The sequence below is a fragment of the Homo sapiens genome, chromosome 8, assembly GCF_000001405.40.
Source record: "Homo sapiens chromosome 8, GRCh38.p14 Primary Assembly".
Lineage (NCBI taxonomy): Eukaryota > Metazoa > Chordata > Mammalia > Primates > Hominidae > Homo > Homo sapiens.
Window position 1 is genome coordinate 7,887,335 of NC_000008.11, and position 23,977 is coordinate 7,911,311.

General features: G+C 43.1%; 1 protein-coding gene and 2 pseudogenes across 1 annotated transcript, besides 2 other annotated features; 2 read left to right on the forward strand and 1 right to left on the reverse strand.

Annotated features, from left to right (window-relative positions):
- The window catches only part of LOC124901865 (translation initiation factor IF-2-like), a 451,468-nt pseudogene that overhangs the window by 273,611 nt on the left and 153,880 nt on the right, over window positions 1–23,977 (forward strand).
- On the reverse strand, window positions 3,181–5,423 carry HSPD1P2 (heat shock protein family D (Hsp60) member 1 pseudogene 2; annotated as a pseudogene).
- On the forward strand, window positions 7,343–9,382 carry DEFB4A (defensin beta 4A). The gene is made up of 2 exons (NM_004942.4): window positions 7,343–7,436; window positions 9,140–9,382. Exons 1-2 carry the CDS (start codon window positions 7,379–7,381, stop codon window positions 9,274–9,276), a joined length of 195 nt encoding a protein of 64 aa, NP_004933.1. The 5' UTR covers window positions 7,343–7,378; the 3' UTR covers window positions 9,277–9,382.
- Window positions 15,224–16,146: an enhancer, noted in NCBI's record as "OCT4-NANOG-H3K27ac-H3K4me1 hESC enhancer chr8:7760080-7761002 (GRCh37/hg19 assembly coordinates)". NCBI's record gives its function as "activates a minimal SCP1, AML or CMV promoter by ChIP-STARR-seq in primed H9 embryonic stem cells {active_cell/tissue: H9 hESC(primed)}" and the evidence as "EXISTENCE:reporter gene assay evidence [ECO:0000049][PMID:30033119]".
- Window positions 16,147–17,067: an enhancer, noted in NCBI's record as "OCT4-NANOG-H3K27ac-H3K4me1 hESC enhancer chr8:7761003-7761923 (GRCh37/hg19 assembly coordinates)". NCBI's record gives its function as "activates a minimal SCP1, AML or CMV promoter by ChIP-STARR-seq in naive H9 embryonic stem cells {active_cell/tissue: H9 hESC(naive)}" and the evidence as "EXISTENCE:reporter gene assay evidence [ECO:0000049][PMID:30033119]".

Consider the following 23,977-nt stretch of genomic DNA (forward strand, 5'->3'; position numbering starts at 1 on the left):
ATTTTATTTCAAATTGCATCTTTGCCACTTAGTAGCCAGGTGACCTTGAACGTGTCCTCCAACATTTCCATGCCCCAGGACCTGCCTCTGTAAGCTTGCGTAATACCTACCTGGCAGGCTTGTTTCTGAGGATTTAATAAGATAATTAATATAAAAATGGCCATAGCAGGGCTAGCCGCAAAATTCCTAAGTTTCAGTGCGAAATGGAAATGCAGGGTACCATGGTTTAAAGAGCAGAAAAAGAAAGTGTAATGAAAGGCAGTAGGATATTAAGCTTTTTCAAACAAATATTTTTCATTGTTTGAAAAATGTAATAGTTATACAGGAGTAATGACAGAATCTTACAAATCTCCACCAGAAATTAATTTCATAGTTTTAATAGAATAAAAATACTACTCTATTAATTGGATTTAGATGAATCATACAATTTTTCTGGCCCACTTTTCTGTCAAATAATATATTAGGACAACAAACTTTATACCTTGAGCAACTTCATTTTATCTTTTGGGAAGAATCTGCTGAAGCAACTGTTTCTGGAATATATTCCAAGCTGTGACAACATGAGGATAAATTATTTTGAAACAGATTTTAGTATATCTGGAGCTGGTGATTCTTGTGAAACAATTTGACTCAAAAGATTTAACTCTTTAAACAAATCAGTTTCATGTAAATTTGAATCTAATTTTAAGTGTCAATTTCTCCAGCGGAATTTTGATGCATCTTCTGACATGTTCTGTAAGTTGCAGAGGCCCACAGCAGACCAATATGGCATCATGATTTGTAACTTATTCAAAACCCCTGTTTATGAATTCTATTGCTATGTATTTATTAACAAGAAAAACTTAATTTTTAAAATTGCCCTCCTTGTTCATAATTGATTAATCAGAAGGTTTTTGTTTGTTTGTTTTTTGTTTTTTGACAAGGTCTGTATTTTTCAGGCTGGAGTGCAGTGCTACGATCATTGCTCACTACAGCCTCAAACTCCTGGACTCATGTAATCCTCATACCTCAGCCTCCCAAGAAGCTAAGGCTACGATCATGTGACACTATGGCCAGCTAATCTTTATTATCTTTATTATCATTATTTGTAGAGATGGTGTCTAGTTATACTGCCCTAGCTAGTATCCAACACCTGGCCTCAAGGAATCCTCTGACCTGAACCTCACAACGTGCTGGGATAACAGGCGTGAACCACCATGCCTGGCCCATCAGAAGTTTTATACAAATATAGCATCCTTCTCTGTTGAATGTGACTACTATTACATGTTTAATTTCCATTTCTGAGCCTTGGATAATGCCTTAAAGAATTCTAAACTCTCTGAAGAATTCCAAGAACTTCCTGGTATACTTTATTGCAATGTCCATGGGCACACTTTTGTTTTGTGCTTCTCTCCTCCCAGTTTGCTATCTGAGCACCTATGGTTCCTGTCCTGGTGCTCAGGTCAGGGGGTAAATCTTTGTGCAGAAGCTCCAAGGATGACTCTGAGAATGCACAGGCACAGAGCTGTCAGTGCTGCCTCCACACAGAGACCCTCCATTCACCCCAGGGCTGAGGACACCTGCTGCTGCTGCTGCTGCTGCCACCTCCCATCCCAGTCCAGATGTGCCTGGGCTGCTCCAAGAATGCCTATGCTCAGGGCAGCAAAGCTCTAGAACGTCCCTGGGCCTGAGCCTGCCCACCTTGTCTCCCCTCATAGCCACTCTGCCCATGTGCCTGCTCCATTGTCCTCAGTAAGCTTCACTTAAAAAACACAAGTTCAAAGAAAAAACTAAGAAAGTCAGGGAGCTATCAGCAGAGCCTGACACCAGGTACCGGCCCTTCTCAGAGCAGATTCCTGTGTCACTGCCCTGCCTTCAAGCCCATGAAGCTGGCTCTGCCTCCAGAATTGAGAACCAGTAAAACTGCTTCTGTTACTTAACATTGAGGACATAATGCAGAGAAACTTTGTTTTCTAAATCATAGAGATGAGAGAGTTTGCTTTCTGGGAGCCTATCTATAAGAATGAGGCTTCCCACTCTTGCCTGGGGAACTGAACCATTTTGCCACAAAGAAACAGCCTGAAATTCTCTCCCCAGTTATAGAGAGAGGTTTGGGGACACAGCACAGGTCATGTTTCATTAAAAGACAGCATAGTGAGTCTATTTGTCAGTTAGACTTGATGGTTCCCATTTTACACACAACCTGGCTTTGCTTTTAGCTCATTAAGAAAAAGAAAAGTCATGTATATTTTACCAAATCTTGACATGTCCCCAAATCCTAGAATTGCTGCATCTCTGGTTTTAGTGAAGAGCCCCATGGTTCTGCCAGTGGATGGTCTTCCTTGCTGAAGCAAGATCATAACCCTACCTTTAAAGCAAAGATGCCCCTCTATTGGTCCTTATCAAACACACTTCATCACTAGGATGAACACAGCTGTGAAGGAGTCACACTGGGCTGTGCCAGGAGAAAAGAAGCAGCTGCAACCGTAGGAATCTTCATGGGAACAGTCAGCCCAGCTGTCCTTGAGCAACCAGGCACATATTCCCTAAGCCTTGGTGGCTTCTTCCCCAGGGACACAGGTGCTGCATTTCACAGTGACTTTCCTATTTCAGAGTAATTTCACCTCCTTCTCTAACAAGGCCTCACAAATGTACTGAGAGCTAGAGAGGACAACAAGTGAAAAACCACAGTGCTATCGGTGGTTCCTGGGATTGGAACAGGTGTGTAGGAAAAATTCACTCTCTTTTATGGGTGAGTTTTTAAATGTGAGTGTATTACTTTTATAATAATAATGTTAAGCATAGTAGTCATTAAGAATGTATCGATCAGGAATGAAGTCTCACATGAAAAAGATGGCAACCAGTCCCTTAATTCAAACTCTAAGCCCCAATAAGGTTCTTCTCATAGTACCATGACATTTCCTTAAGAATATTTACTCAACAAATTAAGAGACATGACAACCTGATTTGATGTGCAAATCTAGATTAAACATGTATCCAGAAACATCAACAGCCATGAAGCCATGGTTGGAACAATTGGAGAAATGTGAAATATTGACAAGATAATAAATAACATTGAGGAACTAGTTTTCTTAATGTGTGTAAATTGTATTGTGTTTGATGTGGGAATGTCCCCTCATATGTAAGAGATTCTGCTGAGATAATTACAGTGAAGTGTCATGATGTTTGCGTCTTTCTTTTTTAACTTTAAACAAATTTTTAGTACACAAAGGTTGTCACATAATTGGAAGTTTCTCTACTTTGTACACAATTATTCTCACTCTGCACAGAAAGGCTGCTTAACTTCTCATTTGGTGGTTGCAAGCACTAAAATCCTGATTTTAACAGAATAGACTACTATTCATTTTTACTAAAAAATGCCTCAGTGATTTAAGTTGAAAACAGTACATCAGTACATGGCTCTTGTACCCAGTGTCAGGAATGTACAAGATCTTTCTATTCAAAAATACAAACTAAATTATCTGTAGGCATGGATGACAGCTGTAAACCATTATATATTTTGTCAGTTGAAACCAGTAACTGATGGTTATAGTGGTTTCTTAAACATCAGCCAGCCTTTTCTTCATTTTCTCCAACTGACTTCTCTGAAGTTATTGGTGAGGAACACTGCCTTGGGCTTCCTATCACAATTCATTAATAAAGGTAAAGCACTATTCTAGGAATTAGAACAGGCCACCTCCCATTCCACACATTGCACCCATTCCAGGGCTGTTCCCTTCTTTAGGAATTTTTGTGACTACAACAGCTGCTGTAGTTAATAGAGAGGCCATGCCAGCAGCATCCAATAAAGCAGTTCTCACAACCTTTGTTGGGTCAATAATGTCTTTTTCCACCATATTCACGACATCTCCTAACATAGTATCATAACCAACTTCTGAGGAACTTTGCATAATTTTCTCAACTATCAAAAATCCATCAACACCTGCATTCTTAGCAATAGTCATTGCTGGAATTTTGAGTGTTCTTTTAATAATTTCTATGCCAATTATTTTATCTTCATTAGCTGGAGTGAATGAGTCCAAGGCTGGAATGCATCGAAGCAGGGCACAACCCCCTCCCTAAACAATGCCTTCTTCAACAGCAGCTCTTGTAGCATTAAGTGCACCTATAACTCTGTCTTTCTCTTCATTCACTTCAACATCACTTGTCCCACCAACCTTCAGCACAGCTACTCCATCTGAAAGTTTCTCCATTCAGTTTTTCCTTTTCGTATTCACTAGTTGTGACATCTGACTGGTCAATGATTTCTTGAACACATTTTTCAATTTGAGACTTGTTACCTTTTCCTTTTAAGAGCATGGCATCATCTTTGATCACAGTGACCTCTCCAACTTCTCCTACATCACGAGGCTGAACGTCTTCAAGATTTAGTGTCAGCCCTCTTCTCCAAACACTGTACCACCAGTAGCAATAACCGTATCTTTAAGCTGGTTCTTTCTATTGTCACCAAACCCTGGAGCTTTGACTGCCACAACCTGAAGACCAACCTTTAGCCTATTCAGGATGAGTGTAGTTAGAGCTTCTCCATCAATGTCTTCAGCAATTATGACCAAAGGCTTACAGTAAGCATTGGCAATTTCAAGAGCAGGTACAATGGACTGGACACTAGAAATTTTCTTTTCATGCAACAGAACATAGGCATCCTGGAATTCACATTTCTCACCTTTTGATGTATTAAGAAAGTATGGAGAAATATATCCTCTATCAAATTTTCATGCCTTCAATAATTTCTAATTCATCAGTCAGTGTTTTTCCATCCTTTACTGTGATGATGCCCTTTCTTCCAAACTTTTTCATTGCATCAGAGATGATGTTACCAATTTCTTTGTCTCCATTTGCAGAAATTGTAGCAACCTGTGCAATTTCTTCAGGTTTGGTCACAGGTTTAGACTGCTTTTTAAGTTCAGCAATTACAGCATCAACAGCTAACATCACACCTCTCTTGATTTCCACTGGATTAGCACCTTTGCTAACCTTCTGGAAGGCTTATTTGGAAATAGAGCATACCAGTACAGCAGCAGTGATAGTGCCATCCCCCAGTCTCTCCATTTGTGTTATTGGCAACATCTTGGACAAGTTTAGCTCCAATGCTTTTATATTTATCCTTTAAGTCAATTGACTTTGCATCAGTCACACCATCTTTTGTTACTTTGGGACTTCCCCAGCTATGTTCAATAATTACTGTTCTTCCCTTTGGCCCCATTGTAATGGCTACAGCATCGACAAAAAGTCTACACTTTGAAGCATTAAGGCTCAGACATCAGCACCAAATTTTACATCTTTACCATCACTTCAAGTGAGGTGAGGAGCCAGTAGCCTGGACACTGGTCTCATCTGGTGAAAGACTGTGGGTAATGGAAGCATTTCTGTGGGGTGGTGGCAGGACATGTGCATGGTGAGGCAGGTCATCAGCAGCAAGTGAGAGCTGCCTCTTACTTTCTAAAGGTGACATAGCAAGTATACAAAAAAAAAATAAAATATTAATTTAGGCAGAGCACATAAAGGCTTTATTTCATATTCCATTTCTCTGTATGCTTTCTTCACCAGGAAGAAATAGTTTTAGTGTCAGGAATGAATGAGTCTGCCCCTCAATTCCAGCCTGCTCAGCACACAAGGAAACAAAGCCCTGACAATCAGAGTGACTCCCTGGTGACTAAGCTCCAGTCCTGGATGCATATTTGTTTAGCAGTTCTGACAGCATCTGACCCAGCCCTCTCTTTGCATACCCCACCAGAACCTTCTTTTTTTTTTTTTTTCTTTGAGACTGAGTCTTGCTCTGTCGGAAGCGATTCCCGTGCCTCAGCCTCCCAAATACCTGGAATTATAGGCGTAAGCCATCATGCCTGGCTAATTTTTGTATTTTTCATGGAGATGGGGTTTTGCCATGTTGGTCAAATTGGTCTCACACTCCTGACCTCATGTGATCCACCTGCCTCAGCCTCCCAAAGTGCTGGGATGACAGGTGTAAGCCACCATGCTAGGCTCAGAAATTTCCTTTTATAAAAATGTCATTAAGGATCTTGGCTGCACAATATCGTTACCAGCTTCCTTTAAATCCACCTCTGGCCTGCCAGGAATCAGGGTTCTTCAGAACCTGACATTTTAAATGAAGAGGTCAGGCAGGTCATGAGGAAAGCCTCATTGTCCCCATGTCTCTGTCACTGCTGCACCCCTGAGACATCACAGACATGGACACTGGGGCCTGCTTGTTTCTCAAACTGCCCTTAGATCGAAAGAGGGAGGAACCAGGATGAATGCCACTCATTTTCCCAAGAAAGGCCCTCTCCTGAGTGCCCGGGATGGGGCTCTGTCCATTGCCTGGGGCCGCCAATTGCTACTCTGGGTTACGGAAGAAGGACAGGGTCCTGAGAGACACCAGAGACCTCACACAGCCCTGAAAACATGGGGCTCCTTCATAAGTGTTTCCCATCACCAACAGGGAGACCACGTGGAGGCCTTGCAGCCCTACTCGGTGCTTCTCCACCAAATCCCAAGGGCAGTGACGCTGACGTCTGTGGAAAGCAGAGAAAGCCCTGGCTCCCAAAGCCCTGAAGTCCTGTGGAGCTGACATTCCCTGAGTGACGGTGTGAATGGAAGGAACTCAAGTGCGGGTGGTAGGCCACCTCCTGGCCCAGGCCTGGGTGAACTCTGAGGGGACACATGTAGTCACAATCCCATCCTCCCATTCTCCTTCTCAGAGGAAGGAAGTGGGCATCCATCTGCCTCATCTCTCTCCCGTGGGGAAGATGGGGAGTTTCAGGGGAACTTTCACATAAATTTCACCAGCTCAGATCTCCTGTGAGGATGGGGCCCACCATGCTCCCGGTGCTGCCAGAGGCCCTGAGCCCCTCCAGGGTCCCTGGGTTTGAGCCAGCCCTGTATCATCCCCAGGAGCTGAATGTCCGAGCAATGGATAGAATTAGATGGAAAGAGCTCTCAATTTGGCCTGAGACTGTCCCCAGATACTCAGGAAAAACAGGACGTCGCACAGAGTGGGCAGCAGGTGAGTGGCAGGTTATAGGTCCTGAGTTTGAGTTTGTTCTCACGTGAGACAGACCCAGCCCCTCACTCCATTCACACACTGGGTTTTAAATGGTGCAAGATAGGAGGAATTTTCTGGTCCCAAGAGCAGGAGGAAGGGATTTTCTGGGGTTTCCTGAGTCCAGATTTGCATAAGATCTCCTGAGTGTGCATTGTTCTTTGAGGACCATTCTCTGACTCACCAGGTAAGTGGCTGAATTCTAACCTCTGTAATGAGCATTGCACCCAATACCAGTTCTGAACTCTACCTGGTGACCAGGGACCAGGACCTTTATAAGGTGGAAGGCTTGATGTCCTCCCCAGACTCAGCTCCTGGTGAAGCTCCCAGCCATCAGCCATGAGGGTCTTGTATCTCCTCTTCTCGTTCCTCTTCATATTCCTGATGCCTCTTCCAGGTGAGATGGGCCAGGGAAATAGGAGGGTTGGCCAAATGGAAGAATGGCGTAGAAGTTCTCTGTCTCCTCTCATTCCCCTCCACCTATCTCTCCCTCATCCCTCTCTCTCCTTCCTCTCTCTGTGTGTCCCCTCCATCCTTTTCTCCTGCTTCTCTCTCTTCTTCCCTCTCTCTCTTTTTTTCTGTCTTTCTTTTTCCTCTCTCCCTAGAGCATGTCTTTCTTTCTTTCTCTTTCCTTTCTTCTACCCACACTTTTAGACTGAGTAGACTGAATGCCCTATTTAATTGAACCAAGCATTGCTTCCTTCAATAGAAAAGGAGTTTGAGAACCCAATGGACAACTCACTCGTTCTTCTAAGCCAATATGAAGGAGCCCAGTAGTTTGTAAATATCATCTCTTCACTGCTTTCCATGCTACAACTGCTGAGACTATGGTTGAAACCTGTTAGGTGACTTTTTAAATAAAAGGCAGAAATTTTGATTTTATCTAAAGAAAGTAGTATAGAATGTCATTTTCTAAATTTTTATATTTAAAGAGTAGATACTGCAACCTAGAGAATTCCAGATAATCTTAAGGCCCAGCCTATACTGTGAGAACTACTGCAGCAGACACTCTGCCCCCAGGACTTTTCTGATCAGAGGCCCTGAGAACAGTCCCTGCCACTAGGCCACTGCAGGTTCACAGGACAGGGACAGCCCATTGAAACCAACTTTTAAACCTGGATGCCTAACCTTCATTTTCTCCTTGATATTATGAAAATAAAATAAAAACCATGAAAGGATAAAAGAGGGAGAGTGGAAGGGAAGGATGGAGAAAGGGAAAAAGAAAATTTGAGAGTAAATCCTAAAACAATTAATCTAATAGATATCATCTTGTGAAATCCTCATTTTACCAATCTTATTTATGAGTCCTGGGTTTTGTGAGAACAATGGGGTTCTGAGAGGCACCAGAGACCTCATATTTTCCAAAACCTAGAACAGTATAATGAAGGAAGGCGGGGAGGCAGGGAGGCAGGGAGGCAGGCTGGTGGGAGGGGGAGGGAGGGAGGGAGGGAAGGAGGGAAGGAGGGAGGGAGGGAGGGAAGGAGGGAAGGAGGGAGGGAGGGAGGGAAACAAAAAGAAGAATGAGGTTGAAACCAGGACTTAGATATTAGAAACAAGCCATTACAAAATTTATTTCTATGGTTAATTGTGGTTTTCAACTGTAAGTTACTTGGTGTTAATTTCCTATTAAACAATTTCAGTAAGTTGCATCTTTTTTATCCCATCTCAGATCAAATACTTAACAGACTAAATGATTTGAAAAAGCAAAAGTTTACTGGCTTGTGTGTGTTAAAATGGAGGTATGGTGGCTTTGATATTATCTTCTTGTGGTGGAGCTGAATTCACAAGAGATCGTTGCTGAGCTCCTGCCAGACCCCACCTGGAGGCCCCAGTCACTCAGGAGAGATCAGGGTCTTTCACAATCAGGTTCTACAAAAATAAACATCCCCCAAACCACAGCAGTGCCAGTTTCCATGTCAGAAACTTAGATCCAAATGACTGACTCGCGTCTCATTATCATGATGGAAAAGCCCAGGCTTGAGAAAGAAGCCCGCTGCGGATTTACTCAAGGCGATACTGACACAGGGTTTGTGTTTTTCCAACATGAGTTTTGAGTTCTTACACGCTGTTTGCTCTTTTTGTGTGTTTTTTCCCTGTTAGGTGTTTTTGGTGGTATAGGCGATCCTGTTACCTGCCTTAAGAGTGGAGCCATATGTCATCCAGTCTTTTGCCCTAGAAGGTATAAACAAATTGGCACCTGTGGTCTCCCTGGAACAAAATGCTGCAAAAAGCCATGAGGAGGCCAAGAAGCTGCTGTGGCTGATGCGGATTCAGAAAGGGCTCCCTCATCAGAGACGTGCGACATGTAAACCAAATTAAACTATGGTGTCCAAAGATACGCAATCTTTATCCTAGTAATTGTGGTCATTGGATGATGTTGGTTTGGGCAGGCCATCTCTAATATCCTTGAAACACCTTTTTCTGCTCTCCAGGAAGGGGTCAGGGCTGCCACAGCGGGGCTTGGAGTGCTTTCCAGGGTCACAGGCATCTGTATTCTTTGGATTCCTTGACCTTCCCCATTTATTCCCGGCATTTTCCTAAAACGTGTGCTTTGCTCCTCCTGCATCCTCCCCTTGCATGCCCTCACCTATCCCACATCTTCCCTAAAAAAAGCAAGCCCAACTCAAAGACCAGTTCCCTCATGGAATCATAGTGGATCTGCCAAGGGAGGGGATGCCCAGTCCTCTGTTCTTCACAAGGACTCCCTTCTTCTGGCTAAGGTTTCTTATGCAATTATGCCTCCTACAGAGGTGCGTGAATTTTTAATTCTCCATTTAGCTATGAGATTTCTACTAGTGTGGACTTTGTCTTATTCATTTATGTGCTGGCCATTCATAAACTATTTCATTAATTGGATGGCAAAATGCAGTTGTACAAGGGTTTCCTTACATACAAACATAATAGGATCCAAGTAAATGCTGTTAAAAACAAGTCTCTTTGAGGGCACAATTAAATGAGGACAATATGGCATGGGACACAAGCAGAGGGGAGCAAACCTCAAGAAGAAAGACTCATCGACTCTAAGGGGGAGCATCAAGATAGCTCCCTGGCCCTGCTCTCTCTCCTTGGGAGGGTTTGGTCCTTAAATCATGAACTCTGTGGGTGTATCCTAGACGCATAAGAAGCTCTCTATTTCTTCACATTAGCTCTGCACTGAATGTGCATATCATCTACGTCTGGGAAAATGCACCTTAGTTCCAAAATAATCCATTGTCTTTCCTAATCTCAAGATTGAAAAAAGTAACCAGACCTTGTTAGAGTAAAAGCATTTTTATCTGGATATAGATTTTATCCAGACGTGATGACAGAGCCAGGACTAGGGCGAAGCGAGGGAGGCTCTGGCCTCAGGTATAAAATGTAAGCACTAAGATATCCTGTACTTAAGATAGATGATCTTATAATGCGATAGATTTTTAAAAAATAATATTCATGAAAAAATCACCATAATTAACAAACTCTCCAAAATTTAAACCAAGACAGGGTCTAATCCTGTGATTGTCCAACTCAGTCGCACTCACCTACCTTGATGCCAGGATAGTCAGACCCTGCCTTTATTTAGTCATTTAATATTCATCGTATATACGTTGTTATTTTGAATAAATTAGTGGATTTCTTGATTCCTGGAAGCATATATCATTTGACTGTATAAAAGAAGTGAAGCTTCACACACACAAAAAAAGTAAAAGTCACCATGACAATGACATTCATTCCTATGTTCTAGGGGAAACAGCACAACTCTCTTAGGAAGAAACTCTCCTTTTATTTAAGAAGACCCTTTAATGGCTGTTTAGGTCTTGGAAGATAGGACACCTGACTGCATCTGTGAAATAGAGATACAATCCATAAGCGCTAAATCATTCTACAATTCTAAAAATAAAATGTTAAAGGTTTCTTGGCCCTCAGAGATTAACAATGAAAGGAGTTCTGGGTTCCAAAAGGAGCAGGTATACCTGTAACATCAGGGCACAAAGTAGCCTGTAGAGGTTATTGCCAAGAGTGGCTGAACTCTTTAGCTAGAATGCACTCTGATTTCTATTCTTATTTTTAACAGTTCTGTGCATTAACCACCCGTCATTATCCTTATGTTTTTGCAAAACTGTGTCTCAATCAATTGCTGTGTATTTGAAAATTCTTGGAAAAGGGGGAAAGCCTCAGTAATTCTTAATGCAAAGCTACAAAGAAAATGGGTAGTTGGTTGCAGGAGTGAGGTGGAGGTGGCCAGAGAATGTCACACAGAAGACAGAAATAAGAATTTGCACAAGATATTAGGAGCATAAGCACCTGTAGGGAGTTCTGAGAAACATTTGGCTGTCTACACTAATGAGGAATGGGAGCTGGAGCTGTTTAATTTGGATGGTCAAAAATAGGATAACTCCGGGAGTTTACAGAATTCACAGAATCCATTCCAACCAAGTGAGCTTGCAAGTCATACTCTAAGTCTCTGAACCTGTGAACTCATGACATAACAGAATAAAATTGTTCCCATTTCATCGTGCCTGAAGACTCATAAGAAAAAAAAAAAGGTATTAATTTTAAACACTGAAGCTCATTCATCATTTTATTGAATTCACCTGGCTACAAAATTAGCAACTGATCTTGTTCCAACTATATTTAAAGCAGATGAAGAAACTCTCCAAAGAACAGGGTTTGTCTGAGACTAGTCTAGGTAGAGTTTACTTTTGACACATCCTCTTGGTGTTTTCAGAGCTTTTTGAATATGTGGAATAATATCATTGCTTTGAGCAGATTTTCAGCCATTAGTTCTTCAGTTATTGCTGCTGTCCCTCGCTCATTTCTCTTCCTGGAAATAGAATTGTCTAGATAGATAGAGAATTGGTCCAAAAGTAATTGCGGTTTTTGCCTTTAAAGGTAATGGCAAAAACTGCAATTACTTTTGCACCAACCATACGTATGTACACAAACACATATGCAATATGTGTGTATTGCATATATACTCAATGCAAACACACAGATACACATATACAAAGCATCCTTTTACTGTGTCTTCACATATATATTTATGCAATTTTTTGTATTTTTCATTATTTTATATCTCTGCACTTCAACCTGAAAATTTTCCACTGACTTGTATTCTTACTTTTTTTTTTTTTTTTTGAAACAGAGCCTTGCTCTGTCACCCAGGCTGGAGTACAGTGGTGTGATCTCGACTCAACTGCAACCTCTGCTTCCCAGGTTCAAGCAATTCTCCTGCCTCAGCCTTCTGAGTAGCTGAGATTACAGGTGCCCTCTACCACATTCAGTTAAATTTTTTTTTTTTTTTTTTTTGTATTTTTGGTAGAGATAGAATATCACCATGTTGGCCAGCCTGGTCTTGAACTCCTGGTCTCAAGTGATTCGCCTGCCTTGGCCTCTCAAAGTGTTGGGATTACAGGCATGAGCCACCGTGCCCAGCCCACTGACCTGTGTTTTAATTCTTGGATCCTCTACTCTGCTCTGGTCACTTTGCTATTAATCCCATCTATTGTGATATTGACTTAACATATTGTATCAAGTACTAGAATTCAATTATTTAATATTTTTACATAAGACAGGAGAGTCTATTCAAAAATGAAAAGGGTCAGACATGTTTCAGATGCCCCAGCCTTCTTGGGATATGGGCTTTTTCATGCTAACATCTGTCTCTTAATGAATCCAAAATGAAGGAGTGTTTGCTTTTAAAAGAATACATTTCAGTGAAGGTCTTGATCAAAGAGAGATAATTAAAAAAACACTAAAGAAACATCAAAAAGATCTAATTGTAGGGTATCTGGGGGATGATAACACATCCAGGAAACTTTTTCTCAGAGACCTGTGATAGAACCTTAAATGTACTTTTCTTTGTTTTGCTCTCATATGTGAGCAACTTAGAAGAAACATGTATTTAGAAGAAACATGTATTTGTTTGTATTAATCCTACATGACTAGGGTTGACAGATTTAGCAAATAAAAGTATAGGACACTCAGTTAAATGTGAGTTTTAGATAAACAACATCCAGTTTATTGTGGCATTATCTATCTCATACTATTTGGGATTAAATACACTAAAAAGTTCTTCATGGTTTTTCTGAAAGCCAAATTGAACTTGGCCTCCTATATTCATCTAATAACACTATGAATCACTGAAAACATTTTTTCTTTAAAGATATTTTTCTTGGTGAAAGTATTTATTACGTCACTGAATTTTATTTTACTAGGTGTAGTAGGTGTAATAACGGCATCCCAAAGATGTCCATGTCCTTATCCCTAGAACCTGGGATTATGTTACACTTTACGGCAAATAAGAACTAAGACAGCAGATAGAATAGTTGGCTAATATGCTGACTTTAAAACCGGGAGATTAACTTAGATCATGTGAATGAGACCAACGTAATCCAAGAATCCTTAAATGTGGAAAAGAAAGGCAGAACAGTCAGTGTCTGGGTGATGCGATGTGGGAACGACTCAACAGCCATTGCTGGATTTGAAGATGAAGGAAGGATCCACAAACCAAGGAACATGGGCAGCCTCTCAGATTTGAAAAGGCAAAGAAGAAAAAAAAAAAAAAAAGGAAAGCAAACTCAGCTTCTTAGAACCTCTGGAAAGGAAAAAGGTCCTAAGGACACTTTGATTTTTCATGTTTGATCCCCAAAACAGCAAGATAATTTGTGTTGGTTTAGGTCACTAAGCTTATGACAATTTGCTTAGAAACAGAACACAAATACAATTGCTCCTCAGTATCCATGGGGGATTGGTTCCAGGACCCCCTGTGTATACCAAATGCCTCAGATGCTCAAGTCCCTGATATAAAAGAGTAGTAATTTCATATAATCTTCACACTCCTTGCATATACTTTAAATCATTCCTAGATTTCTTGTAACACTGAACACAATGTAAATGCTAAGTAAGTAGGAGTTATGCTGTATTTCCTAGAAAATAATGGCAAGAGAAAAAGGCCTGTGCATGCTCAATTCAGACACAATGTTTTTGTAGAACGTTTCCTGATGTGGAACACACGAATAGGAAGGGCCTACTGGTTTCAAATTATAAACTGAGCATAAAATTAGTAACACAAAAAAGCTAAGGCTACATTTCTGTAATGGAGAACAAAGATGAAAACCTACCAACATTTTACGGAATTTTATGTATATCTTTCTCAAATTCTGAAGGCTTATATGAAAAGACAATGAGGCTCTCAGGAAGAAGGGACAAAAACTGAAAAAGTTGAGCCTGTTCCTCAGTTTCCATCCAAACGGACTCACTGCTATGGGAATTGCCCTCCTACAGTAGACAAGATGGAACTAGTCAGCAGGTGTGAGACAGCTGTGTTCATATATTGGATAATAAGCAGTGCAACAAACAAATAAACTAGGATGTCCTTTTGCCCCTAGCTCTCTATAGGGCCAGGTTACAGGCCACAGCACAGGGAGGAAGACTTACATGAAGACCAGCACCCTGTAGCATTGAGGAGACCAAGGTCAAAGCTCACACAGCACGATACGCCCTGTGTCAGTCTGTGTGTGTTGCTCTAAAGGAATACCTGAGGTGGGATAATACTTCAGGAAAGGAAGTTATTTGGCTCACTATTTTTGGCTGTGTGAGAAGCATGGTGCCTGCATCCGCTCCTTGTTAGGACTCCATAAGCCTTCAGTCATAGTGGAAAGTCAAGTGGGAGCAGGAATATCACGTGGTAAGAGTGGAGCGAGAGGGTGCAAGGAGGTCCCAGACTCTTTTAAACAACTACATGTTGTATGAACTCGGAGCAAGAACTCACTCATTTTTGTGATGAAAGCAGTTAGTCATTCATTAGGGATTCACCCCCACAACCCAAACACTTCCCACCAGATTCCACTTCCAACACTGAGGATTAGATTTCAGCAGGAGGTTTCGAGGGGACAAACATCTGAAAAATATTATTCTTCCTCTGGCCCCTCAAATCTCATGTCCTTCTCACATTGCAAAATGCAATCATCCCTTCCCAATCACTCCCCAAAGTTTTAACTACTTCCAGCATTAACTTAATCAAAAGTCCAAAGTTCAAAATCTCATCCCCTGAGACTCAAATTCCTTCCGCCTTTTAGCCTGTACTATCAAAAACAAGTTATGTACTTTCATGTTACAATGATGGCACAGGCATTGGCTAGACACTACCATTCTAAAAGGCAGAAATTGGCCAATAAAAGGGATTACAGGCCCCACACATGTCAGAAACTCAGCAGGGCAGCTATTAAACCTCAAAGTTTGAAAATAATTCTTGATTCCATGTCCTTTATTCTGCTGTGAGGGTGGGCTCTGAAGACCTTGGGCTGCTCTGCCCCTGTGGCTTTACAGGGTGCAGCCCACATGGCTCCTGTCACAGGTCAGAATCTGATGCCCGTGGCTCTTCCATGCTGAGGGTACAAGCTGTCAACAGTGTTACTATTCTCAGGTCTGGAGGGCAGTGTTCCCCTTCCCTCAGCTCCACTAGGCAATGCCCCACTGGGGACACTGTGTGGGGAATCCAACCCCACGTTTCCCCTTAGCACTGCCCTGGTAGAGTTTTTCTCTTGGTACTCTCCCTCGGCAGCAGTTTTCTGCCTGGAGAACCAGACTTTGCCACACATCCTCTGAAATCTCGGTGGAAGCTGCCAAGCCTCCTTCCTTTTTGCACTCTGCAGACTTGCAGGCTTAGCACCACATGAACGCTGCCAAGACGTTCTGGCTTTCACCCACTGAAGCAGTGGCCAATCTGTACATTAGGCCCTTTGAGCTGAGGCTGGAGGCTGGGCAGCCAGGATGTGTCTTGAGGCTGAGCAGGGCAGCTGTGCCTGGGTCTGGCCACTGAAACCATTCTTTCCTCCTAGGCCTGTGGGCTGTGGTGGGAGGGAATGCCTCAAAGTTTTCAAAAATGCCTTGTAAGCTTTTTCCCCATTGTCTTGGCTATTAGCACTTGGCTCCTTCTCAGTCATGCACATCTCTCTAGCAAGTGGTTTCTCCACAGCCCCTTACAGTCCTCTTCTGAAAATGCTTTTTCTTTCTCTACTAAATTTCTAGGCTGCAAATTTTCCAAATTTTTATGCTTTGCTTCTTTCATGCGCGTCCGTGTGAAGAGACCACCAAACAGGCTTTGTGTGAGCAACATGGCTGTTTATTTCACCTGGGTGCAGGCGGGCTGAGTCTGAAAAGAGAGTCAGCAAAGGGAGATAAGGATGGGGCCGTTTTATAGGATTTGGGTAGGTAAAGGAAAATTACAGTCAAAGGGGTTTTGTTCTCTGGGGGGCAGGAGTGGGGGTCGCAAGGTGCTCAGTGGGGTTGCTTTTTGAGCCAGGATGAGCCAGGAAAAGGACTTTCACAAGGTAATGTCATCACTTAAGGCAAAGACCGGCCATTCACACTTCTTTTGTGGTGGAATGTCATCTGTTAAATTGGGGCAGGGCATATTCACTTCTTTTGTGATTCTTCAGTTACTTCAGGCCATCTGGGCGTATATACGTGGAAGTCACAGGGGATGCGATGGCTTGGCTTGGGCTAAGAGGCCTGATATTCCTGCCTTCTTATATTAATAAGAAAAATAAAACAAAATAGTGTTGAAGTGTTGGGGTGGTGAAAATTTTTGGGGGGTGGTATGGAGAGAGAATGGGCGATGTTTCTCAGGGCTGCTTCAAGCGGGATTAGGGGTGGCGTGGGAATCTAGAGTGGGAGAGATTAAGCTGAAGGGAAGTCTTGTGGTAAGGGGTGATATTGTGGGGATGTTAGAAGAAACATTTGTCATATAGAATGATTGGTGATGGCCTGGATACGCTTTTGGATGAATTGAGAAACTAAATGGAATAACAGAAGGAGAAAAACAGGTATAAAAGGTCTAAGAATTGGGACGACTCAGGATATCTGATTAGAGAGTGCCTAAGGAGACTCATCATAGTCCTGCCAGCAAAGATTATTTATGTACTTCAAGAGTTAAGAGCGGCAGTTTGGGGATAGCACCAGGAGATATCAGCTGTGATGGCTTGGAAAAACTGTGTAAAACGGCCGTGTAAACAAGAGCAGGGCATGTATGAGTAGTTGAGAACAGTGAATAGGAGTATGACTAGACAGAAGATAGTAGGGATGACAAGTTTTTTGGGGCACAGTTTAAGTTGGTCTGGTGTCTGGAATGAGACTGGGGCCTAATAAAAAGGAGCGTCTATACAGGAGCTTAAATGGGCTGTACCCTGTAGCATTCCGAGGACAGGCCTGAATTCTGAGATGGGAGAGTGCTAAAAGTATTGTCCAGTCCTTTTTGGTGGCTGAGCTTGGTGAGGTGTGTTTTTAAAAGACCTTTAGTCCATTCTCCTTTTCTTGAAGATGGAGGACTGTAAGGAATATAAAGGTTTCACTGAATACTAAGAGCCTGAAAAACTGCTTGGCTGATTTGACTAATAAAGGCTCATGTGTTATCAGACTGTATGGAGGTGGGAAGGCTAAACTGAGAAATTATGTCTGACAGAACCAAAGAAATGACTGCGGTGGCCTTCTCAGACCCTGTAGGAAAGGCCTCTACCTATCCAGTGAAAGTATCTACCTAGACTAAGAGGTATTTTAGTTATCTGACTCAGGGCATGTTGAGTAAAGCTAACTTGCCAGTCCTGGGTGGGGCAAATCCTTGACTTGATGTGTAGGGAAGGGAGGGGGCCTGAATAATCCCTGAGGAGTAGTAGAATAGCAGATGGAACACTGAGAAGTTATTTCCTTCCTTGAGGATAGATTTCCACGATGGAAAGGAAATAAGAGGTTCTAAGAGGCGGGCTAGTGGCTTGTACTATAGTATAACCTGCTTTTGCTGGTGTGTGGCAATTAGGCCTGGTGGAACTGCCATCAATAAATCAAGCGTGATCAGGGTGAGGAACAGGAAAGAAGCAAATATGGGGAAATGGGGTGAATATCAGGTGGATCAGAGAGATACAGTCATGGGGGTCAGGTGTGGTATCAGGAATAATGTGGGAGGCCAGATTGAAGTCCGGGCCAGGAACAATGGTAATTGTGGGACTTAAAGAGTGAGTACAGCTGAAGGAGCCGGGGAGCAGAAAGTATATAAGTCAAGTATGAGGAAGAAAATAGATTTTGGAAGTTATGAGAACTGTAGAGAGGGAGTTGAGCATAGTTTGTGATTTTGAGGGCCTCTAAAAGTATTAAAGCAGCGGCAGCCACTGCACGCAGACATGAGGGCTAGGCTAAAACAGTAAGGTCAAGTTGTTTGCACAGAAAGGCTACAGGGTGCTGTCCTGGCTCTTGTGTAAGAATTCTGACTGCACTAACTATGCCTAGGAAGGAAAGGAGTTGTTTTGTAAGGGATTGTGGTTTGGGAGATTAATCGGACATGATCAGCAAGGGAAAGCACATATGTTTTCATGAGAACTATGCTGAGATAGGTAACAGATGAGGATGACATTTGGGCTTGACTGAAGTAATAGGGGCTGTCTATGAAGCCTTGCGGCAGTACAGCCTAGGTAATTTGCTGAGCCTGATGGGTGTCAGGGTCAGTCTAAGTGGAAGCAAAGAGAGGCTGGGACAAGGGGTGCAGGGGAATAGTGAAAAAGCATCTTTAAGATCAAGCACAGAATAGTGAGTTGTGGAGGAAGGTATTGAGGACAAAAGAGTGTACGGGTTGGACACCACAGGGGGGATAGGCAAAACAATTTGGTTGATAAGGTGCAGATCATGAACTAACTTGTAAGGCTTGTCTGGTTTTAGGACAGGTAAAATGGGGGAATTGTAAGGAGAGTTTATAGGATTTAAAAGGCCATGCTGTAGCAGACGAGTGATAACAGGCTTTAATCTTTTTAAAGCATGCTGTGGGATGGGATATTGGTGTTGAGTGGGGTAAGGGTGATTAGGTTTTAATGAGATGGTAAGGGGTGCATGATCGGTCACCAAGGAGGGAGTAGAGGTATCTTATACTTATGGGTTAAGGTCGGGGGATACAAGAGGACGCAAAGGAGACTTTGGATTGGGAAGAAGGGTGGCAATGAGATATAGCTGTAGTCCAGGAATAGTCAGGGAAGCAGATAATTTAGTTAAATTGTCTCGGCCTAATAAGGGAACTGGGCAGGTGGGGATAACTAAAAAGGAGTGCTTAAAAGAGTATTGTCTAAATTGGCAGCAGGGTTGGGGAGTTTTAAGAGGTTTAGAAGCCTGGCCATCAATACCCACAACAGTTATGGAATCAAGGGAAACAGGCCCTTGAAAAGAAGGTAATGTGGAGTGGGTAGCCACCGTAATGATTAAGAAGGGGACGGAATTACCCGCCACTGTGAGAGTTACTCGAAGTTCAGCGTCCGTGATGGTCTAGGGGGCTTCTGAGGCGATCGGGCAGTGTCAGTCTTCAGCCACTAAGCGGAGAAGATCTCTGAAGGAGTCAGTCAGAGAGCCTTGGGCCAGAGTTCCAGGGGCTGTGGGAATGGCTGCCAGGTGAGTTGAACAGTCCGGTTTTCAGTGGGGTCCCACACAGATGAGACGCGGCTTAGGAGGAATCCCAGGCTGTGGGCATTCCTTGGCCCAGTGGCCAGATTTTGCATATGTAGCTAGCTCCTGGGGGAGGAGGTTCTGGAGGACTGCCTGGCTGCTGTGGTTCAGGCATTTGGAAGTTCTTGTGTGCTGGAGATGTGGCTGGGGTTTGTCTCACAGTGGAGGCAAAGAATTGCAACTTTTTTCTGTTATTGTACGCCTTGAAGGTGAGGTTAATTAAGTCCTGTTGTGGGGTTTGAGGGCCAGATTCCAATTTTTGGAGTTTTATTTAATGTTGGGAGCAGATTGGGTAATAAAATGTATATTGAGAATAAGACGGCCTTTTGACCTTTTAGGGTCTAGGGCTGTAAAGTGTCTCAGGGTTGCTGCCAAATGAGCCATGAACTGGGCTGGGTTTTTATATTTGATGAAAAAGAGCCTAAACACTTCTGATTTGGGATAAAGAAAAAGGAGCATTAACCTTGACTATATCTTTGGCTCCAGCCACCTTTTTAAGAGTAAATTGCTGGGCAGGTGGAGGAGGGCTAGTCACGGAAGGAAACTGTAAGCCGGACCAGGTGTGAGGAGGGGAGGTGATAAAAAGATTATAGGGTAGAGGAGCAGAGGCTGAGGAAGAATTGGGACGTAGCTTGGCCTGGTGAGGAGCAGCCTGGGGAGGAAGGGAGATGTCAGATTGGTCTGTAGAAAAGGAAGATTAGAAAGACTCAGCGACACTTGGGGTTGGTACTGAGGGGACAGGCGGGAGGGAAAGAAGGAAGATTTGGGATGAGTTGCACTGGGCACAGAGACTAGGAAGGGACTGATGTGTAAAAGAATGCCTGGACGTCAGGCACCTGAGACCATTTGCCTGTTTTACAACAAGAATTATTTAGATCTTGTAGGATGGAAAAATTCAAAGTGCCATTTTCTGGCTATTTGGAACTACTGTCGAGTTTGTATTGGGGTCAAGTGGCATTGCAGAAGAACATAAGGCATTTAGGTTTTATGTCAGGTGTGACTTGAAGAGGTTTTAAGTTTTTGAGAACACAGGCCAAGGGAGTAGAAGGAAGAATGGAGCATGGAAGGTTGCCCATAGTGAAGGAAGCAAGCCTAGAGAAAAGAGAGAGTAGAGAAATGGAAGGAAGGGGTTTGGGGGTTCTTACCTTCCAGAAAAGTGGGAAAAGGGGTTGGGGCACAGAGATAAGAGGTCAGGGCATGGAAATAAGGGATTGGGGTGCAGAGATATGAGGTTGAGGCACTGAAATAAGGGATTGGGGCACAGAGATAAGAGGTTGGAGTGCAGAAATAAGGGATTGGGGTGTAGAGATAAGAGGTTGGGGCATGGAAATAAGGGATTGGGGTGTAGAGATAAGAGGTTGGGGCATGGAAATAAGGGATTGGGGTGCAGAGATAAGAGGCTGGGGCGTGGAAATAAGGGATTGGGTGTTCTTGCCCCATAGAAAAGCGGGACTTGCCGCTAAGGGTGAAGGAGAAGGGGTTGAAGGGTACTTGCCCCTCTCCCAGAAAAGCAGAGAAGGGGTAGAGACAAGGCGAGAAGGAGTTGAGGTACTTGCCCCTTCCCCAGAAAAGCGGGAATTGCCGCTAAGGGTGAATGACCAAGGCAGGTGTTCCTGCATGGTCAGACACCCTTGAAACGTGGGTGTATAATCAGAGAGGCATCCCTGCAATGATTAAACACCAAGGGAAGGCTGCCTTCCCAGTCCGTGACCAGTGCCGGAGTTTTGGGTCCATGGAAAAAACGTGTCTCCTTTGTCTCTTCCAGAAAATGAAAGGAATTGAAATTAAGAGAAGGGAGAGATTGAAGAGTGGAAAGGAGAAAGTGGTTGAGGGACAGTGAGAGAGGTTGCAGAAGAGAGTAAGAAGAGGCCGCTTACCTGATTTAAAATTGGTGAGATGTTCCTTGGGCTGGTCGGTCTGATGACCTGAGGTCATAGGTGGATCTTCTCACGGAGCAAAAAACAGGAGTACAGGGGATTGATCTCCCAAGGGAGGTCCCCCGATCCAAGTCACGGCACCAAATTTCATGTGCGTCCGTGTGAAGAGACCACCAAACAGGCTTTGTGTGAGCAACATGGCTGTTTATTTCACCTGAGTGCAGGTGGGCTGAATCCAAAAAGGGAGTCAGTGAAGGGAGAAAAGTGTGGGGCTGTTTTATAGGATTTGGGTAGGTAAAGGAAAAATACAGTCAAAAGGGGTTTGTTCTCTGGCGGGCAGGAGTAGGGGTTGCAAGGTGCTCAGTGGGGGTGTTTTTTGAGACAGGATGAGCCAGGAAAAGGACTTTCACAAGGTAATGTCGTCACTTAAGGCAAGGACCGGCCATTTACACTTCTTTTGTGGTGGAATGTCATCTGTTAAGGTGGGGCAGGGCATATTCACTTCTTTTGTGATTCTTCAGTTACTTCAGGCCATCTGGGCGTATACATGCAAGTCACAGGGGATGCGATGGCTTGGCTTGGGCTGAGACGCCTGACAGCTTCTCCTTTAAGTTCCAAATTGAAAGCATTTCTTTGCTCCTGTATCTGATTGCAAGCTTGTAGAAGCAGCTACATATCTTGAATACTTTGCTCCTTGGAAATTACTTAGACCAGATGCTCTAGCTAATCACTCTAAAGTTCAACTTTCCACAAATCCCTAGGACGTGAACACAATGCAGCCAAGCTCTTGACTGGGGTGTAACAATGGGGACCCTTGCTCTAATTCCCAGTAACTTCCACTTTTCCATCTAACAACTTGATAGTGTGGACTCCACTGTCCATATCTCTGTGAGCATTTTGGTCACGTACATTTAACAAGTTTCTAAAGAGTTCCAAACTTTCCCTCATCTTCCTATCTTTTGCTGGGCCCTACAAACTCTTTCAACCTCTGCCAGTACCCAGTGACAAAGCCACTTCCATATTTTCAGCTGTCTTTACAGCAATGCCCCCTGCACAGTATCAATTTTCTGTGTCAGTTTGTTTTTACTCCTATAAAGGAATACCTAATGCTGGGTAATTCATAAGGAAAAGAAGTTTATTTTGGCTCCCTATTCTGTAGGCTGTATGAGTAGCATGGTGACATCATCTGCTCCTTTTGAGGCCTCAGAAGACTTCCTTTTGTGTAGGAAGGGGAAGGGGGAGCAGGAGTATCACAAGCCAGGAGAAGGAGCCAGAGTTGGGGAGGTGCCACACTGTGTGAAACAACCAGATCTCCCATGACTCAAAGAAGGAGCTCACAGATTATCTCCAGGACAGCACCAAGCCATTCATGAGGGATCCACCCCAATGACCCCAACACCTCCTGCCAGGTCCCACCTCCAAGACTGGGAATTACATTTCAACATAGTATTTGGAGAGTACAAACATCCAACCTGTATCAGACCCCAATTTCCAGTGCACATATCAGAGAGTGGGCTACTGAAAGGAAGCATTGATCTTGAGTGTTGGAGAAGAGAAGAATGCCTTCACTCTTAGGCTATGTTATGATGTGTGCACACTTGGGCTAAGACTTCCCCAGGCCAGAAAAAAGTAAAAACTCCATAAGGGAGTGAACGGCATTTTCAGGAGGACAGACAAGTCTTGAAAACTTTGTATCCCCACAGCAAAGTGGAGAGAACTCAGAACCTCAGAAAGCCATCAGCAAGTAGTGGTGCTAGTTAGCTCTAGATTAAACTGCTCTGCAACTGCTTCAAGAAATTTTCAAGCCATTCTTGAAAAAACCAAATGAATGTATAGAACCCCCAAAATGAACCAGATGATGTCTAGCATTCTTTGGGGAAAACAACCAAAACTGTTACTCAACAATTCAAGCTGTCCAGGCCTGGCGGTTCATGACTGTAATCTCAGCACTTTCGGAAGCCAAGACAGGTGAATCACTTGAGGGCATGAGCTCGAGACCAGCCAGGCCAACCTATGCCTACTAAAAATAGAAAAATTATCTGGGCGTGGTGGCACAGGCCTGTAGTCCCAGGTACTCAGGAGGCTGAGGCAAGAGAATTGCTTAAACCAGGGAGGCAGAGGTTGCAGTGATCTGAGATTGCACCACTGCATTCCAGCCTGGGCAACAGAGCAAGACCCTGTTTCCAAATTAAAAAAAAAAAGGCTTTATAATATACTGAATCCAATAAAAAATTTCCAAGCATGAAAAGAAGTAGGAAAATATAGCCCATAACTAGGAGAAAAGTCATTCAGTAAAAACAGACCCAATAATGACAAAGGTACTAGGATCAGAAAAGGGAATGTAAAGGAGCTATTATAAAAGTTATAAATATGTCAAAGGCTGAAGAGAAAACCTTTTTGATGAGGAGGAACACATAAAAAGAACCAAATGGGCCTTCCAGCAGTAAAACAAAATGATGAGAACAAAAAAATTTCTGAATTGGATTAATGACACATGACAGTATAGAAGAAAGGATCAGTAAGCCTGAGTCTACATTAACACAAACAAATGAGAAAATGAAGCAAAGGGAGAAAAAAACTCTGGATGAAAAATAAACAGTGCACT

Bases quoted from the DNA above. Each gene is read 5' to 3' on its own strand.
- DEFB4A (NM_004942.4), top strand. From the start codon at position 7,379: ATGAGGGTCTTGTATCTCCTCTTCTCGTTCCTCTTCATATTCCTGATG. The intron at 7,437-9,139 runs GTGAGATGGGCC...TTTCCCTGTTAG, and splicing joins ATTCCTGATGCCTCTTCCAG to GTGTTTTTGGTGGTATAGGC.